Raw genomic sequence first — 20,795 nt, 5'->3', positions numbered from 1 at the left:
CAAATTAAATAGATTAAGAATTTTATTAATCAACTGCAATATACAGCTCATATGGATCTTGATTTAAACAAATTGTTAAATGACGCAATCAGGGAAATCGTAGCCCTGACCTGAGATATAATTTACAGATGATATGATGGAGGTATGCTTCCAAACAATCAAGTTGGAGGGTATAGACAAAAAAGATTGACTATGAGTTGATATTAATAATATTCAAAGCTGAATGACTGGTGAAGAGGGATTCATTACACTATTTCCCTCTTTTTTTTTTTTTTTTTTGAGACAGAGTCTCGTTCTGTTGCCCAGGCTGGAGTGCAGTGGGATGATCTTGGCTCACTGCAATCTCTGCCTCCTGGTTTTAAGCGATTCTCCTGTCTCAGCCTCCCGAGTAGCTGGGATTATACACATGCACCATGACGCCTGGCTAATTTTTCTATTTTTAGTAGAGACTGGGTTTCACCATGTTGGCCAGGCTGGTCTCAAACTCCTGACCTCAAGTGATCCACCCACCTCTGCCTCCCAAAGTGCTGGGATTACAAGCGTGAGCCACTGCACTCAGCCTACTTCCCTTTTTTTGAATGTTTAAAATTTTCCATAATAAAAAGCTTTTGAAAGGGAATATAAGAAAGTAAACAAAATAATAATCCAGGTAAGATTTTCACCCTCACAAACTTATGATAAACAGCAGTCTAGCCCTAGCTACAGCTACTGTCTCAATAACAAGTGAATTCCCAACTGAAGAACTTAAGATCTCATGGAAAGAAATAAGATTGAGGTACTAAAGTTGGTAATGTACCCACCAAAGTCTTTAAAATAATTCTGTATTCATAATATACACCTAAGACAAAATATTAAGTAACAACAATATTAATGTTATTTTACATCTTAAGTTAGGAGTAAGATTACTATTTCCCCACTTTTTAGTTTCAAAAGGAGGTTTGAGCTTTAATTTTTCTCTGATGCACTTTACAGACATACTAAAAGACTTTTTCTTTTCTTTTGGGAATGGCTTTCTATTAGAGTGTTCAATATTTTTCTTACTTTAGGACTGAGAAGTCACAGCTCTGTTCTCATCTTCCTTTTGTTACACACTGGCACTCCCTTCCGCCTCACAGAAGTCAATGAAGTACATTTCACCTTTTTCTTCTCAAGGCTTCCCTGCAAACACCTCTATTCAATACCTTACTTCTGCTTTAATCCTCCCCTCTTCTATTCTCAATCCCCAGCTCCCTTTTTTCTGGTTATCTTCAATAGCGGGTACTTATAACTGACATTATGAGATCAAAAATTCTCTTGTTAACTGTGAGAAAATATTGGTTAAAACAGAAAATGCTCAAATTTCTTGTGTGGTAAATTCACTAATAGGGAGGAATTACTGTAAAATAAGACTGAATTCTCACCTGTCCTTTAGTCCTGGTACAAATACCTGAAAAGGTTTTAAGTCTTGCTGGTACTTGCCATTACTTTAGTCATCTTAGTTAGAAACTTTGGTGCATATGTGATTCTTTCCTTTCCTTTACTCCTAAGTAAAATTTGTCACTAAGCCATGTTAGTTTTCAATCTGAAATGTAACCACTGCCACCATCATCATTCTGACTCTAATATATCCATGCCTGGTTTAATAACAGATTCCTCCGGGGTTCTCTATCTTTCAAATCAATCCTGTACACTGCACTATATAAACTTTCCTAAAACAATGTATTTAACCCATCACGTATATGACTCCAAATCAAGTGGCAGGTTCTCTGTTGGCTACTATGCAAAAAGTGAAGAAAATAGGCCGGGCGCGGTGGCTCACGCCTGTAATCCCAGCACTTTGGGAGGCCAAGGCGGGCGGATCACGAGGTCAGGAGATCGAGACCATCCTGGCTAACACGGTGAAACCCCATCTCTACTAAAAATACAAAAAATTAGCCTGGCGAGGTGGCTGGCGCCTGTAGTCCCAGCTACTTGGGAGGCTGAGGCAGGAGAATGAACATGAACCCCAGGAGGCAGAGCCTGCAGTGAGCCGAGATCGCGCCACTGCACTCCAGCCTGGGCGACAGCGAGACTCCGTCTCAAAAAAAAAAAAAAAAAAAAAAAAGTGAAGAAAATAAACAAAACCCTATCCTTTTATCCTAGCACTACTCTCTGGATACTTTATCCTTTTATGCTAGGGCTACTCTCTGGATAGTCAATCCTTTTACGCTAGCTCTACTCTCTAGTCTATCCTTTTACACTAGTGCTACTCTCTAGATAGTCTATCCTTTTACGCTAGTGCTACTCTGTGGCTAGTCTATCCTTTCATGGTAGCGCTACTCTGTGGATAGTCTATCCTTTTCCACTAGCACTACTCTGTGGATAGTTCAATGAGGTTCTTAGTTCTACATTAAGAAACATCATGAGTGCTCTCAGGCTTTGTTTCCCCACCTGCTATAAACTTCACTCTATTCTCACAATCTCAAGGCCTTCCTTTCTGTTTGACCTCATGTCTGTCTCCTACTTCCTTACTCACCAGGATTGTCACAACGGATTTCTAGTTTCTTTTGTTTTTTGAAGACCTTTACACTTCTGGCTTCTTATGCCTTGTATGCTCTTACTGTAAATCTTTAGAGGGCTTGTTCCTGTGAAGTTCCTGGAATGTCCTCAGGGAGGCCCTTACTGTCTACTACCTGAAGCTGTGACCCTCCCCTCCTCTTCTCCTGACAATTACTCCCTCCACATTACTCAGCTTTATTTTCTACCTGGCATACATGATTCTGTGAAATGAGCTTATATATAGGTTTACCTAAGGAAGCTCTAAATGAGGTACTTTCTCTTACTCATCACTCTAATCCTTATACCTAAAAGAATGCCTAGCACACAGTAAATGTCCAATACATGTTTGCTGATGAATAGCCCTGGCTATGCTCTTAATTTCCTCTACAGTGCTGTAAATTTACAGTCCACTTTCAGAGTATTAAAACAGATGGTTAAACAAGTGCCCAGGATCCCCATTCCTGTGCATACTCCCTAAAACAGGCACATTGTCCAACGATCTGGTCTGTGCTAGTTTTGAGAGCAGGCTCTGAACTCTATTTATTAACCTCATCCTCCAGTACTCTGACAAAACTCTGGTTATGCTGATCTCCTGAAGCCCCCCGCAACACACTGTGCTTATTGGCATCCGCTAGTGCACAGGCAGAACAGAGTAGTGAATCCTGGCATCTACTAGGTGCAACTTCTAGCAGTGTGCTTTCAGGCAAAGCTATATTTCTCTGTGCCTTCAGTTACCTTCTTTGTAAAATGCGGACAATAATAGCATAAAATTCATACAGTTACTATGAGAATTAAGTGAGTCTATATATAAAGTGCTCGGAACACTATCTGATACAAACAATGACTAACACTCAGGTAGCCCTTCCTATTATTCACTTTCACTTTTGACAGGCCTCCTATCTGCACAGTGTATTCTCTTTCTTCTCAACCTGGCCAAACCATATCTAGCTTCATGACCTACCTGAAGCTTACTTTCTTCTCCAAGTTTCACCAACCTTTCTTCTCTTTAAACTCTAATGGTATTTGGCTGTCTTTAAATGTTATTTAAACTATTTCAAACATATACATATTGCTATTGTAGAAAGACTTATAAATTACTCAAGAACAAAGATCTTATTACTAATTCCCTCTCTATCCACCAAGTGCCTAGCATTTAAACACTACAGGGCAATACATGCATACAGAATGACAAATACATCAACTTCTGTAAGTTCAGATAACAAGCTGACAGATTAATCTAATGGTGATATAATGTTGAGTAACACAATCAGCAATATTAAAAGTTCCAAAAATAACCTAAATACATATTTACAGTAATTTAAAGATGTTAGTGGAAAGTAACACAAAAAAGGAAAAAAAAATCAGTTTACTCATACTTAAAAGTATCCTTAAAAACTAAAAAATTATGTGTTTATCTTAAAGAAAATATACAAAGCAAAGGTGTGTTAAATGTGTCATAATAGGATATTCATAAAAATAAATGTCTGACTTCAGGGTTTACTTAAACATAGACTTCCTCCATAGAGCATTTTAAACTATCTAATGTATATGGAGTCTTTTAGAAGGAAACACACACACACACACGCACACACACGCACATGAAACAAGCTGTAAGTATTATATTTTAATTAGAAACAAAACTTGCAAGTTAAAAAAAAACTTTGGATACTTAAATTGAGAGGTGGAAGGAGAGTATGGATTTATATATTCGAATTCTCTCAAAAGCAGTTATTTATTTCTTCATAAAGGGTGTTAAGGCTACAAGAGAGGGAAGCTTTTTACCCTACATGTAAATCTCATCAATTTTATCCTTTTGCTCTCTATATACTTCTGATTCTCTCTCCGCACACATTTTTCATATACCTGTTTTTCACAAGATCTTTGTTATTACGTAAGGAAAGAAGTTATATCTTATGGTGTGAGAAATGCCCCAAACTTTAAAATAACTGCAAGAAGATAAATTTTGTTAAAAGTGATATTTTCATTCTTAAATCAATTTTATGTATACAATTTTTTTGAATACTCACTTATATAATGCATTCCTAAATTCAGGAGTCATAAAAAGTGTTTGCAAAAGGCTATTCAAATAGCAAGTCATTGCTTGGTTTACTAGTCCCACATATCCTTTAAAGAGAAAATACAAATGTACATTAATCAGCATTTACATTAAAAATAACAAAAACATAATAAGAATTTAATTCACAGTAAAGATTCAGAGGTTAAAGTTACTACTCATTTGGAAATTATTTCAACTTGTTCAACAGCACCTAAGAAAAGATCCCTTTTCTAATATGTGCTCTAAGTAAGCTTTGTTTTGTAGAAAATGTCAGGATACCTTGTTATAGATATGTCCAGAGGTACACATGGAGATTATATGACATTAACATTTTAAGAGTAATATGTTCAGTAAAGTATGTGTTACTGGCATAGACATAAACTTTTTCCCCCAAAATCTAAACGTTTAAACATATTAAACTTTTAAACATATTAAACTAGATTATAATGGAAAAGCATAAACATATTCACTTTAAACAGCACCACACACATCCAGTGTAGAAAGACTATACAGAACCAGTTACCCCTGTCATCAAGCCCTATAAGCCAATTTCTGTAAGAATGAATAACATACGAGATAAATTCACTACATGCAAACTCACAAAAGCTGAGACTCTAAGTAATGCAGAGTGACTTCATCTGTTTCAACAAGCCTGTCAATGAAATTCTATAGATCAGCATGCTGTGCAAAGGGTGATATGTATCCACACCATCTGTACTTATAGGATTCCAAGAAAAGACCAAGCATGGTAGCTATCTGCTTTTCACTTTGTACTAAGGTTCAAGCTTTTATTTTTTTCACCTTTATTTTAAGAACCGTGTATGCATGGGTGGTTTATATCTTAATCTACATCATTGCATTATTTTAAACTGCTTCTATTCCAGACTATTCCCCACTTGAGTTGTTCTCATAGGATCCTATATTTAATCCGTATTAGAGCCTTTATCTCACTGTTTTGTAACGACCCATTTGCTTATATGTCTCCCCCATCAGACTGTGAAAGCAGGGATTGAATCTGACTTCTATCTCTCCTATTACTTAGCACAGCAGCAGATGCACATGAGAGGGCAATGTGTATGACTTACAAGTAACACAAGTTTGTATGGTATCTAAGCTGATTATTAATAATAAAAAACATTATTTCATTAGTTCATACAAACAGAGCCTTTCCCACAAACAACAGCAATTTGTCCAGGAGACCAATTGTTCTGTATCTTCTTCTGAGCTGAGGCTGCTCTGGGATTTCTTTTCTTCTCCGTCCTCCTCCTCCCAATTCCTCAACAGTCTGGGGGAGAACCAATCTACTTGGAGCCTTACAAGGTAAATGAATACTACTATCATCCTTTGTGTACATACACATCAATCATGTATCACTTGTTTGTGACCTTGTTTCCCTTTACTGGGCTTAAAAAAATGTTTTCGGGGTAGGCTTGAGAAGAGAAGAAGAGAGTAATGGCAATTAATTTTTGCCATAGCTCTTTATTTTACCATCAGGTATAAAAATCACATATGACTCTATGATCTTTTGTACTTGATTTGGCACCATATTTAAACAGAATGAACACTGTGTCACATAAATGTACTATTTTCCAAAAGTATGACGATTTTGGTGACACTATTAAAAGTGCTAATGAATTAACAGAAACCTTTCTCATTATGCATTGTCTAAATCAACAAACTTCAAATGGCAGCTATTATCAAGTGGATTCTACATCTGAAATAGTTATGAATCAATATTTTTAGTATAAGTCAGTAAGCAAGAAGAATATGAGAACATATACCATCCAGTAGAGGGCACATGCAAAAAGAAATCCTAAACAGAACCAACCACTAAAGAAGGAGAAATCAAACAGGCCCAGTGAAGTGGAATCAAATAGGCCAACTCCTGAAGTAGATAAAAAGGCTGTTAAAAAAACTGGCCAAAGACAGGTATCATGGATTTAGTTTCTAATCACTTGTAAGTTCACATTAGCCTTCAATCTACTCCTTATTTCTCCCCAACCCACCATCTCCTATCAACAGTGGCTGGCTACCAGTGGGAAGTGGTAGGAAAGAGACAGGAAAGAGTATGTTGAGTACCCAAACCCATTGCTTTACTGAGAAATGTGTTTCTAGAGCCCTAAGTTAAAATCATGAGAGCATTTTCTAATAAGAACATTTCACACATGGTGCCAAAATTTATAATAATTTCTTAAGGAAATGCAAACTCAATGGTTTGATTAAATAATTTTATCTGATACAATAATTTCTGAACACAACCCCTGATAAAATAATTTCTGAACACAACCACCTTGGATGCTTATAGAGTAACTCAGGAAGGCAGGACCCCTAGAACCCTGGAGGAAAATGTACAGGTAGGGAAAGGGAGTGGAGTAGAGGTGTGTGAGGAACAGTAAATGCGAACAAAGACTATGATTACATGGCAATGTATAGCAAAGACTTCTAAAAATATTTTTTTAAGTAAACTTCAACTTACTAATATAATTTCTGGGAATTTTTATCTTTAGGAAATAATCAGAGATGAAAACAAAAATGTATGTATAAGAATTTTCATAATAATATCAGCAATATTAATAATTACAATTTAAATATCTGAACCTATAAAATGAAACTATTTTTCAGCCATTTAAAGCCCCATATTAAAATACTATTTAATAACATTAAAAAATACTCCTCATATAGTATTAAGTGAAAAACATTAATTAAAAATCTACTCATGATTCCCCATTTTCTGAAAAGTACACATATAGAGGAAAGATAAGATAAAAATATGCAAAATTGCTAGAAGTGGTGCCAGTAGTACTGTAAATTATTTTCACTTTTTTATTTTATAGTAAGACAATGACATGTATTTTAATATATTTGTATAATCAAAGAAAGAGCGTTTTAAAAAAGCATGTCTTAGTCTCAAGGAATTCACAGGCCTCAGAGAGCCACAGGAAGTTGAAGTTAGTACAAGCACAGTAGGAGTTCTGTAAATACTTGGTGCAAAAATGACTGAATCAATTGTCAGAAGACAAAGCAAATATCTCAAGAATCTTGATTTGTTAAATCTGGAACTCTCTCACAGTGTTTCAGCTATCTCAGAATAATGTAGCTATCTCAGAATAATAAGAAACAAAATGCAATTTCTTCCAGCCTACTACAGAGCAGCTATATCAGCATTTTGGGAAGTAATGCCTTGGAACCTACATTTTTCTTTTTTGTTTTTTGAGATGGAGTCTCCTTCTGTTGCCCAGGCTGGAGTGCAGTGGCTCAATTTCGGCTCACTGCAACCACCTCCTGGGTTCAAGCGATTCTCCTGCCTCAGCCTCCCGAGTAGCTGGGATTACAGGCACCTGCTACCACGGTCAGCTAATTTTTGTATTTTTAGTAGAGATGGGGTTTCACCATGTTAGCCAGGCTGGTCTCAAACCCTGACCTCAGGTGATCTGCCCACCTCGGCCTCCCAAAGTGATGGGATTATAACAGTGAGCCACTGTGCCCGGCTGGAACCTGCATTTTTAACAAGTACCCCCAAAATTAATTTTAAAGAAATTAAAATCTGAGAATCACTACTCTAGATAGTGTAATGGGAAACAGTTTAATTACCTCCTATTATCTGAAATCAAAGATAATTTTGTATTTTTTTTATTGTGGTTGTTTGCTACAAAAAGTTCTACTGATAGAAATGAATCCTAAATACCAAACATAATCAGGTTTTACTATTATTTCCAGAAAAAATAAACCATTAAAGCTGCACAATAACTAGCTATGAGGAAATTATTCTAAATTCTAATTACAAAATATAGTAAACGAAAGATTACAGATGACATTAAAACAAAACCTGGAGTTGGGCACCATGGCTTCTACCTGTAATCCCAGCTACTTGGGAGGCTGAGTCAGGAAGATCACTTTGAGACTAGCCTGGGCAACACAGTGAGACCTCATCTCTAGAAAAATTTAAAAGCCAGGCGTTGTGATGCACACCTGTATTCCCCGCTACTTGGGAGGCCGAGGCAGAAAGATTACTCAAGACTAGCCTGGGCAACATAGTGAGACCTCATCTCTACAAAAATTTAAAAGACAGGCATTGTGGTGCACACCTGTAGTCCTAGCTACTTGGGAGGCTGGGGTGGGAGGATCGCTTGAGCCTAGGAGTTCGAGGCTGCAGTGAGCTATGATCTTACAACTGCACTCCAGCCTGGGTGACAAAGCAAGACTCTAATCTCTATAACATAATAATAAAATTAAAAATAAGCAATCTGCAATGTAACACTATAGTGTTCTTTTTACACTGATATTTGTAATGTAATATTTAAAATCACCTGTTTTGAAGTTCTAAGAGTAAAGTTTCTGAAGCCATACTTAGCATGAAACACCATTAATGACATATGCAATCAAAGGCTTCTCTGAACCCGTTTTCATTTCCTTCAACATAAAACATACTATCTATTGCAAAGATTTGTTTTAAGATGAAATAATATGTAAATTTATCAAGATTTATTCATTAGGCGATTAAACAATCTTGTATGTAAATAAACCTTTGCATAAAAAAGCCATTTTACTTGCTCAATAAAGTGAAAAAATTAAAAAACATAGGCTTAATCGTATTGAGAAAAAAAGAAATTTCAAAATGACATGATTCATTTCAAGCACTAAAATGAATAAACTAAAAGATAACACAACAGACCCATAAAATAAGCATGGCCCATGTGCTTCAAAATGGAAGTACTGTAAAAGTAGACAACACAGACTTTCCTTTCTGGAGGAAGTCCACTTTAAAAATTTCAGAGTATAGTCAAAATAGAAAATTATTAAAAGAAGTCTTGAATTTTTTTTTTCTTTTTCTTTTTTTTTTTTTTTTACTTGAGACAGGGTCTCAATCAATCACCCAAGCTGAGTATAGTGGCACCACCATGGCTCACTGCAACCTAGACCTCCTGGGCTCAAGCAATCCTCCCACCTAAGCCTCCTGAGGAGCTGGGACTACAAGCAACAGCGACCATGCCCAGCTAATTTTTTTATTTTGATTTTTGTAGAGATGGTGTCTGGCTAGGTTGCCCAGGCTGGTCTCCAACTCCCGGGCTCAAGCAATCTTCCTGCCTTGGCCTTCCCAAAGTGCTGGGATTATAGGTGTTAGCCACTGTGCCCAGTACACCTATAATCCCAGCTACTCAGGGGACTGAGGTGGGAGGATTGATTGAGTCCAGGAGTTCAAGACTGCAGTGAGCCATTATCAAGCTTCTGTGCTCCAGCTTGGGCAACAGAACAAGACTCTGTCTCAAAAAAAAAAAAAAAAAAAGAAAATTAAAAAGAAAAGAAAAGTCTTCCTTAAAAACATAATATTCAATAATGTTTACGTTATTATTAAATAGTGGCAGCAGCAATATAGTAGAAACGAGTGGGTTGAAGGAAAAGTAAACCACATACTTCTTCTAACTTTGCGGCTGCTAGCTAGTACTCCTGCTCTAGGTCTCAGTTTTCTTATCCATAAAATAAGAGGATTAGGCTTCAAATCGCTAAGATTACTTTGGATCTAATGCCCTATGATTTTATGAAAATACAACAAATCTTACCAGTTTCTGATTTATTCAAAATAGATGAGTAGGAGTAGCTTTGGCTGACATAATCACTGGTAGAACCCCCAGAACCTTCTCTTGGAAGCGGACCTATAAACCTGTCATGAACACTGTCTTCCCCAGCACTGGAATCCTCCTAAAATGCAACATATTCAAATAGTTAGTAAATAGCAAATGTTGCTGAAACAACAGCATTCACCATTTCCTGTAGGAAGGTTTGAATGATGCCTGATACAAAACACTCTGGAAAGGTGCTCATGCCCCCTTCCAAAGTGTTACTTTCTAAATTTTCTTTCAAATTTTCTGTTTACATGAGAGAAGATTTTTGGTACTAATAAACGAAAAGTACCATTGTACTCCGTGATGACAGTCTATCATTCATTTTTATATCATCCTGGCCACGTAGGCCTAGCACATAGGGGACACACAATTATTGTTGGTGAGATGGATAGTTTCCTACTGTCTCTGACAAGAAACTTCATTTTAATAAGGAAGATGCTGAAAAGGATTAAGGGACATAAAAGCAGCACAAGCAATTAGAACAGAACTGAAGAATTCTTATGCATTTAAAAACATGAATCCCTGAACTGTGAATCCAGAGTTCCCTAAATTAATAGCTATTTTAGATTTCAATGTCACTCAGACTAATCAAAATCTTCTCATGATGTCATAAAACTAAATGATGCAATTAATGAAGATCAGAGAGCATATTCTGTTACTGCTTCAGTACAGATGGACTGTGTTTAATTACTGTCTAGTATCCAGACAGGCATTGTTAATCACAATAAACTTCTAAATGAAAAGCATCAAACAGAACAATCTTTCCTGAGCAAAGCGTCATTAAACAGAAGGATTCTGAAAAAGTCTCAGCCTGTAAAAGAGTGAGGTAAATCAGACCAGGTTTTCTTAATCTTTTTTTGGCATTTTAATTTTTTAAATTATTATTTTTTCAACTTTTAAGTTCAGGTGTATCTGCGCAGGATGTGGTTTGTTACCCAGGTAATGTGTGCCATGGTTGTTTGCTGCACAGATCATCCCATCACCTAGGTATTAAGTCCAGTATCCCTTAGCTATTCTTCCTAATGCTCTCCCTCACAACATGCCCCAGTGTGTGTTGTTCCCTCCCTGTGTCCACGTGTTCTCATCATTCAGCTCCCACTTATAAGTGAGAACATGTAGTGTTTGGTTTTCTGTTCCTGTGTTAGTTTCCTGAGAATAATGACTTCCAGCTCCATCCATCTCCCTGCAAAGGACATGATCTTGTTAGTTGTTATGGATGCATAGTATTCTGTGGTGTATATGAACCATATTTTCTTTATCCAATCTATCATTGATGGGCATTTAGGTTGATTCCATGTCTTTATTATTGTGAATAGTGCTGCAGTGAACATATGAGTGCATGTATCTTTATAACAGAATGATTTCTACTCCTTTGCCTATATACTCAGTAATGGGACTGCTGGGTCAAATGGTATTTCTGCCTCTAAGTCTTTGAGGAATGACCACATTATTTTCCACAATGATTGAACTAATTTACTCTCCACAACCTTGCCAGCATCTTTTGTTTTTTGACTTTTTAATAACTGCCATTCTGACAGGTGTGGGATGGTATCTCATTGCGGTTTTGATTTGCATTTCTCTAATGATCAGTAATGTTAAGCTTTTTTTCATGTTTGTTGGCTGCATGTATACCTTCTTTTGAGAAATGTCTGTCCATGCCCTTTGCCTACTTTTTAATGGGTCTGTTTTTTTCTCGTAAATTTAAGTTCCTTGTAGATTCTGGATATTAGACCTTTGTCAGGTGGATAGATTGTAAAAATTTTCTCCCATTCTGTAGGCTGTCTGGTCATTCTGATGATAGTTTCTTTTGCTGTGTGGAAGCCCTTTAGTTTAATTAGATCCATTTGTCAATTTTTGCTTTTGTTGCAATTGCTTTTGGAATTTCATCATGAAATCTGTGCCTGTACCTATGTCCTAAATAATATTGCCTAGATTTTTTTCTAAGGTTTTGTATAGTTTCGGGTTTTACATTGAAGTCTTTAATCTGTCTTAAGTTAATTTTTGTTTATGGTGTAAGGAAGGAGTCCAGTTTCAATTTCCTGCCTATGGCTCACCAGTTCTCCCAGCACCATTTATTAAATAGAGAATCCTTTCCTCGTTGCTTTTGTCTGGTTTGTTGAAGATCAGACGGTTGTAGATGTGTGGTCTTATTTCTGAGTTCTCTATTCTGTTCCATTGGTCTATGTGTCTGTTCTTTTACCAGCAGTATGATGTTTTGATTACTGTAGCCTTGCAGTATAGTTTGAACTTGGGTAGCATGATGCCTTCAGCTTCGTTCTTTTTGTTTAGGATTGTCTTGGCTATTCAGGCTCTTTTTTGGTTCCATATGAATTTTAAAATAGATTTTTCTAATTATGTGAAGAATGTCAATGGTAGTTTAATGGGAATAGCATTGAATCTATAAATTACTTTGGACAGTATGGCCATTAACAAGATATTGATTCTTCCTATCCATAAGCATGGAATGTTTTCCCATTTGTTTGTATCTTCTCTGATTTATTTCAGCAGTTTATAGTTCTCCTTGAAGGTGTCCTTCACTTTCCTTGTTAGCTGTATTCCTGGGTATTTTCTTTCTGTAGCAATTGTGAATGGGAGTTCATTCGTGATTTGGCTCTCTGCTTGCCTGTTGTTGGTATACAGGAATACTAGCAATTTCTGCACACTGAATTTGTATCCTGAGACTTTGCTGAAGTTGCTTATCAGCTTAAGCTGATTTTATGAAAATACATCATAAGACGATGGGGTTTTCTAGATACAGGATCATGTCATCTGCAAACAAAGATAATCTGACTTCTTCTTTTCCTATGTGAATACCTTTTATTTCTTTTTCTTGCCTGATTGCCCAGGTCAGAACTTCCAATACTATGTCAAATAGGAGTAGTAAAAGAGGGCATTCTCATTTTGTGCCAGTTTTCAAGGGGAATGCTTCCAGCTTTTGCCCATTCAGGTTGATATTGGCTGTGGGCCTGTCATATATGATTCTTGCTATTTTGAGTATATTCCTTCAATTCCTAGTTTATTCAGAGTTTTTAACATGAAGGGATAATGAATTTTACTGATGGCCTTTTCTGCATCTTTTGAGATAATCATGTGTTTTTTGTCTTTAGCTCTGTTTATGGGATGAATCGCATTTATTGATTCGCATATGTTGAACAAACCTTGCATCCTGGGAATGAAGCCAACTTGATCATGTGGATAAGCTTTTTGATGTGCTGCTGAATTCAGTTTGCCAGTATTTTATTAAGGATTTTTGCACCGATGTTCATCAGGGATACTGGCCTTAAGTTTTCTTTTCTTGTTGTATCTCTGCCAGGTTTGGGTATGAGGATGAGGCTGGCCTCATACAAAGAATTAGGGAGGAGTTCTTCCTTTTCAATTTTTTGGAATAGTTTCAGTAGAAATGGTACCAGCTCTTCTTTGTACCTCTGGTAGAATTCAGCTGTAAATCTGTTTGGTCCTGGGCTTTTTTTGATTGGTAGGCTATATATTACTGCCTCAATTTCAGAATTTTTAATTGGTCTATTTAGAGACTCAATTTCTTCCTAGTTCAGTCTTGGAACGGTGTATGTGTCCAGGAATTTATCCATATTTTCTATTTTATGTGCACAGAGATGTTTATAGTATTCTCTGATGGTTTTTCGTATTTCTGTGGGGTCAGTGGTGATATCCCCCTTATCGTTTCTGATTGTGTTTATTTGATTCTTCTCTTTTCTTATTAGTCTAACTAGCAGTTTATCTATTTTATTAATTTTTTCAAAAAACCAACTCCTGGATTTGTTGATTTTTGAAAGGTTTTTCGTGTCTCTATCTATCTCCTTCATTTCTGTGCTGATTTTGGTTATTTCTTGTCTTCTGCTAGCTTTGGGGTTTGTTTGCTCTTGGTTCTCTAGTTCTTTTAGTTGTAATGTTAGGTTGTTAACTTGACATCTTCCTAGCTTTTTGATATGGGCATTTGGTGCTATAAATTTCTTTCTTAACCCTGCTTTAGCTGCATCCCAGAAATTCTGGTATGTTATCTCTTTGTTCTTATCAGTTTCAAAGAACTTCTTGATTTCTGCCTTAATGTCATTATTTACTCAAGAGTCATTTGGGAGCAGGTTGTTCAATTTTGTAGTCATGTGGTTTTGAGTGAATTTCTTGAGTTCTAGTTTGATTGTGCTATGGTCTGAGAGTCTGTTGTAATTTCAGTTCTTTTGCATTTGCTGAGGAGTGTTTTACTTCTGATTATGTGATCAGTTTTAGAGTAAGTGCTGTGTGGTGATGAGAAGAATGTATATTCTGTTGTTGTGGGGTGGGGAGTTCTGTAGATATCTATCAGGTCCACTTGATCCAGAGCTGAGTTTAGGTACTGAATATCTTTGTTAATTTTCTGTTTCGATGATCTGTCTAATACTGTCAGTGGGGTGTTAAAGTCTCCCATTGTTATTGTGTGGGAGTGTAAGTCTCTTTTGTTGGTCTCTAAGAACTTGCTTTATGAATCTGGGTGTTCCTGTATTGAGTGCATATATATTTAGGATAGTTAGCTCTTCTTGTTGGATTGAACCCTTTACTATTATGTAATGCCCTTGTCTTTTTTTATCTTTGTTGGTGTAAACTCTGTTTTGTCAGAAACTAGGATTGCGACTCCTGCTTTTTTCTGTTTTCCATTCACTTGGTAAATTTTCCTCCATCCCTTTATTTTGAGCCTATGTGTGTCTTTGCACATGAGATGGGTCTCTTGAAGACAGCATACTGATGAGTCTTGACTCTTTATTCAGCTTGCCATTCTGTGCCTTTTAATTAAGGCACTTAGCCCATTTACATTTAAGGTTAGTAATATTATGTGCAAATTTGATACTGTCATCATGATGCTAGCTGGCTATTTTCCTGGCTTATGTGGTTGCTTGATAGTGTCACTGGTCTGTGTACTTCAGTGTATTTTTGTACTGGCTGGTAACAGTTTTTCCTTCCCATATTTAGTGCTTTCTTCAGGAGCTCTTGCAAGGCAGGCCTAATGGTGATGAATTCTCTCAGCATTTGCTCGTCTGAAAAGGATCATATTTTTCCTTTGCTCATGAAACTTAGTTTGGCCAGATATGAAATTTTGGGTTGGAAATTCCTTTCTTTAAGAATGTTGAATATTGGTCCCTAATCTCTTCTGGCTTGTAGGGTTTCCACTGAGAGGTCTACTGTTTGTCTGTTTGTAGGTGACCTGGCCTTTCTCTCTGGTTACCCTTAACATTTTTTATTTCATTTTGACCTTGGAGAGTCTGACGATTATTGTCTTGGGGTTAATCTTCTCATGGTGTATCTTACTGGGGTTCTCTGCATTTCCTGAATTTGAATGTTGGCCTGTCTTGCTAGATTAGGAAAGTTCTCCTGGATGACATCCTTAAGTATATTTTCCAACTTGGTTCCATTCTTCCTGTCTCCTTCAGGTATCCCAATCAGTTGTACGTTTGGTCTCTTTACATAATCCCATATTTCTTGGAGGTTTTGTTCATTCCTTTTCATTCTTTTTTCTCTATTCTTGTCTGCCTGTCTTATTTCAGAAAGACAGTCTTCAAGCTCTAAGATTCTTTTCTCTACTTGGTCTATTCTGCTATTGATACTTGTCATTGCACTGTAAAGTTCTTGTAGTGTATTTTTCAGCTCTATCAGGTCAGTAATGTTCCTTTCTGAACTGGCTATTCTGGCTGTCAGCTCCTGTATTATCACGATTCTTAGCTTCTTTACATTAGGTTACAACATGCTCCTTTAGCTCAGCAAAGTTTGTTATTACCCACCTTCTAAAACCTCCTTCTGTCAATTCAGCCATCTCAGCCTCAGCCCAGTTCTGTGCCCTTGCTGGAGAGGCACTGCGGTCATCTGGAGAAGAGGCATTCTGGCTTTTTGAGTTTTTGACATTTTTGTGTTGATTCTTTCTCATCTCTGTGGGCTTATCTACCTTTGATCTTAGAGGTTGCTGACCTTTGAATAGGGATTGTGTGGGGTCTTTTCTGTTGATATTATTGTTATTATTTTCTGCTTATTTGTTTTACTTTTAACAGTCAGGCCACTCTTCCATAGGGCTGCTGCAGTTTGCTGGGGGTCCACTCCAGACCCTAGTTGCCTCAGTTTTTCCCATACCTGGAGGTATCACCAGTGAAGGCTGTGAAACAGCAAAGATGGCAGCCTGCTCCTTCCTCTGGAAACTCTGTCCCAGGGGGTCCTGAACTGTTGCTGGCCTGAATGCACCTGCAGGAAGTTGCTGAAAACCCGTTGGGAGCCAATTCCAAGCCAGTGGGTCTTAGCTTGTGAGGTGCTGTGGAAGTGGGGCCTGCAGAACAATGCTGCTTGGATCCCTGGATTCAGCCCCCTTCCTAGGGGTATTTATGTATGGACTTCCCACCTTGTTGGGGATCCTGGGGTCAGAGTATGTAAAACTCCTGGGGTCTATATGTGTGTCCGAGTGGCTGCTCTACCAAGATTCCACATAGCTCTGTGTATTGGACCCAAGACCCTGGTGGCGTGGGCTCCTGAGGGGATCTCTTGATCTTAGGGTTGCAAAGATCCATGAAAGTAGCGTGGTTTCCTGGGCAGAGTCATACAATCATTCACAGCTTCCCTTGGCTGGGGGTGGGGATTCCTTTGGCTTTGTGTCTCTCCTGGGTGGGCCATCGCCCCACCCTGCTTTTCTTCATTCTTTTTGAGTTGAGTTGTTTGCCTAATCAGTCTCAGTGCGAGAACTTGGATATTTCAGTTGAATGTGCTGTATTCACTCTCCCCTTTCACTCCTCTCCATGAGCACTGTGGACCGCAGCTATTTCTAATCGGCCATCTTGGCCCCTCCCTCTTACTCTTTTTTAACTCATGTCCTCTACAACGCACTGAGAGAAAAAAAAAAATCTCTGGTGGAATAGCCCTCAAATTGGGAGATACTGCATTAGATATCTCTAAGGCAACTGGGCTGAACAGGAAAGTCCACTGAAATGTGAATTGGGATAAACATTAAAAGAATAGAAGTGAAACATTTAATGTATACACCAGTCATTCCAAAAAAGGTGGCAGGTTAGGGGAGGAAGTGAGAACGGAAATGACCTTCTTGCAGATACTGAAAAACCTCATGAAAACCACCAAAGATTTACAGCAACCAAGCAAATGCTTAAACAAAGGAAGGGTCACTACTGAAACACAGGAGATCTTTGTGGCACTTTGACTTATCCTAGACCCACCCCCATCCCTGGTGTGGCAGTGGTCTTGAAGACAGCAGTATATGTTAAATCCAAGGCGGCAACAGACTGTATACACAAATAATGTTGCTGTGGATGTCCAGTGTAACTATGTTATTCTACACACTTATAACAAACCAACATAAAATGAAAAAATATTAATTTATTACACAAATTACAAAACACATCTTATTTCCTTTGGGAAACTGCATCCTCAAGTAGTAGGTGACAGTGCACAAAAATTATAAATATGGGGCTTTCTAAGTAGCTTACCAGCAGTATTTGAGGTTGTTCACCATCTTTATCTGTCAAATGCAGAAAGTTCTTCTTTCCTGGCTCAAAATTAGCGTCGAGAAGTGACTTGTCACTGGTATGATCCAGTGGTGCCTATGGACATAAAACATAATGTTTCAGATTATGAGAAACATAAAATAAGTAATCTGTAAATAGATACATATCTACATTTAAATAGTATTTTTTTAGTAATGATCTGGTAAAATTCTCTTCATCTAGGCTTGGAATTAACTCATTTATTCATTAACTGGAATAGCTAAGCCCAGTAACAGTGCATACACTGATAGGTATCCCAGAGACTCACATTCCCCAACATCTAACAAACTAAAAAGAGAAAAGGCGAAAGTTAAGAGGTAATGTTAAGCACTACATACACATAAAAAGAATCTATAAACATTTCTCTTTCCATGTTCTATACAATATATGCAATATGATATTTAATGGGGTTTCAAGAAAATTGACCAAAGATAATTTTACATAACTAAAAACCAAAATGTTTTGATATATAAATATGATGAAAAATACCAGATAAGCAACATACTAAGCAACCCAACCAAAATAATTATGTAACATAATTATGTAATGTAACAAAAATAAAACTAATGTAGTATATAATATAGCCTTTAGAAAGACTCCTTAAGGAAAAGCCTGTCCCAGTAAATGATACCTATTTCAAATGTACCACTAGGATTCAGAGGACCCAGGGGGTATGGAAGTGACTGTGATCAGACCTTTGAAAATTAAACATCTAAGAGTCAAGTCTTCACCTAACTTATATGGTAGGGCAATTTCAACTCTAGCTGTCATTCTAATATACTCTAGCTGGTGGATGAGAGAGGAAACTCTGTATGCCCCAAGCCCTACTCACTCACTCCAGACTGCTGTTGAGAAAAATGAGGGAGTAGAGATAAACATCTTTAAAACTGTTTTGTTACATTAAGAAATGTTTTTAATGTTTCAAAGACATGGGCAGAGTCTCCTTATACTCATTTTATGAAAATGCCTTTATTTCTTAGGAAATTAACACTGATTAACGTTGTATAAAAGTGCAGGTACTGAGGACAAAAAAAATTAACTGTAAGAGATTCTGCTACTTACTATCTGTGTGACTTTGGAAAGTTATTTCACTTCCCCATGACTCAGTTTCTTCACCTATGAGGGTGTAGTAGCATCTACCTCATAGAGTAGTTATTAATATAAGGATTAAAAAAGATTACATTTGTACAGAGCTTAGAATACTATAAACACAGTAAGTGCAAAAGACGTGTTAAGTAAATAAAACAGCGAATATATTATCTACCTCTTAACTTTGGCTCACATCTATCAATCCACAAGAAAAACAGGACATAGAAAACCTGAAGCTAAAAGCAGCCACATGGAGGGAAGAAAGGGATTGCTGGGTTCCTTAAAGTCACTGGTGGGACATGATCAGATCACACAGCTGAAATACACAGGGGTTTTACCTCAGTAAGTGTCTGTATACAAGGTGGTGGGTAGCTAAATGGGCTTAGTTTTCTGAGGAGTATCCATTCAGCACTACGCAGTAAGCAGGAGAAAGTAGTCATATTTGTAGAAATGTACAGGAGGCAAATAAAAATACAGAAATAGAGCTCGAGTACAGTAATAGCTAAAAAGAAAGAAACAGGTAATCCTGACATACAGCTATTTAAAGCTATTGTGGAAGATAATTTAACAAATGCTTTTTGAATGCCTAGAAGGAATGTTTATGGAGGATATGAAATTTATACGAGGTTCCTGTAATGAAAATGCTGACATTGGAAATGGAAAGACACAGATGAGTAACACCTATAACAAAAAGGAACTATAAGTGGTGCAGCCAAAGGGCATAGGAGGTCAAAGAGAAAAAAATTACTTTTAAAGCGGCATGAGGAAACACTGAGTAAGGCTTTTTAAGGGTAAAAGATGATATTATATATCATCTAGGACAGTACACAACTATCCTTTAAACTGAAAAAGGACAACACTGGAAATTATGTGGTGATGTACCAGAAAGTGTTCAAAGTCTCAGATTAAATATTGTTTATCTTTCTATGTCTTGTCCGACTACCAATTTTACTGGTTAATTTCAGTTTAAAACATTAGTTCTATATTTTTAAAAAAACAAATATATTATGGAATAAAAAGCATAATATGATTTTAAGGGCAAATCAGGCAACATCAAACATCTTTGATTCTCCTGTGGGACCAACTTAAAATATGTACTCCAAATACCATAGGGATACACATTCAACTTCACTGACTGTTAGAGGTATTTTTCTGGAAAACTTAAGACAGAAAAATATGGAAATCTATGTTAAGAAAATAAACCAATCCAGTATCTGGGATTTAAGAGTATAAAGCCTTAAAGAACCAATAATAGCTTGTCTTAGATTTTTAATCAGTGGGCAATGAGCAGTGATTGATGGTTACTGAACTAGAAGGTGACATAAGTGCTACAACTTTAGATGACTGAAAATAATTCTAACTATTATGTAGGGTGAATTTGGACAGAGAGAAAGGAAACAAAAAAGGCTATCTAGAATACTGTTCTAATAACGCAGATGAGATCCAACTCAATGGTCTTCTTCCTTAACCACACTCCCATGCAAAAGTGATCAGTACCTCTGCTATGTTCTGAGTGTTTATGTCTCCCCAAAATTCACATGCTGAAACCTAATCCCCAATGCAATGATATTAAGCGTTGGGGCCTTAGGAGCTGATTAGGTCTCAAGGATGGAGCCCTCATGAATGGAATCAGTGTCCTTATAAAAATGGTCCAAGGACAGATGTCTATCAAGGATTCCTAGAAATTTTTTTAATAATTGCAATTGTTTATTTTGGTAGTAAACATTAATACAAGATTAGGTCAAATGATGACCTAAGAAGATGTCTACCAATAATCCTCCCCTAAAGTCCATAAAATGTCAAAAAAGAGCATGCTTAGCAAACCAAAAATTTTGAGAAATTAAAAAATAGAAAACAGACAGGATCAGATCTATGGAAAAATAAAACTAAGGGGAACCACAGCCCAAAGATCCTATAAGAGAAGACTACTGTGGAGATAAAGGTAGTAAGGAACTTCAGACTAAGGTCAAGACATAGAGGCCAGGAAACAGC

General features: G+C 37.0%; 1 protein-coding gene across 16 annotated transcripts in view; it reads right to left on the bottom strand.

The window, feature by feature from the left end:
* Positions 1 to 20,795, bottom strand: part of USP47 (ubiquitin specific peptidase 47) — a 119,916-nt gene that overhangs the window by 59,650 nt on the left and 39,471 nt on the right. For 15 of the 16 annotated variants that reach the window (NM_001372095.1, NM_001372093.1, NM_001372094.1 and 12 more), the window contains 3 exons: positions 17,658 to 17,771; positions 10,132 to 10,270; positions 4,545 to 4,641 (listed from right to left, as the gene is read on the bottom strand). In NM_001372095.1, the coding sequence (NP_001359024.1) occupies positions 4,545 to 4,641; positions 10,132 to 10,270; positions 17,658 to 17,771 (350 nt within the window). The remainder of the gene's footprint in view (positions 1 to 4,544; positions 4,642 to 10,131; positions 10,271 to 17,657; positions 17,772 to 20,795) is intronic. The other variant, NM_001372102.1, reaches the window with a different exon arrangement.

Source organism: Homo sapiens, chromosome 11 (genome assembly GCF_000001405.40).
Source record: "Homo sapiens chromosome 11, GRCh38.p14 Primary Assembly".
NCBI classification, from domain to species: domain Eukaryota; kingdom Metazoa; phylum Chordata; class Mammalia; order Primates; family Hominidae; genus Homo; species Homo sapiens.
This window is presented reverse-complemented; position numbering and strand designations above follow the sequence as displayed.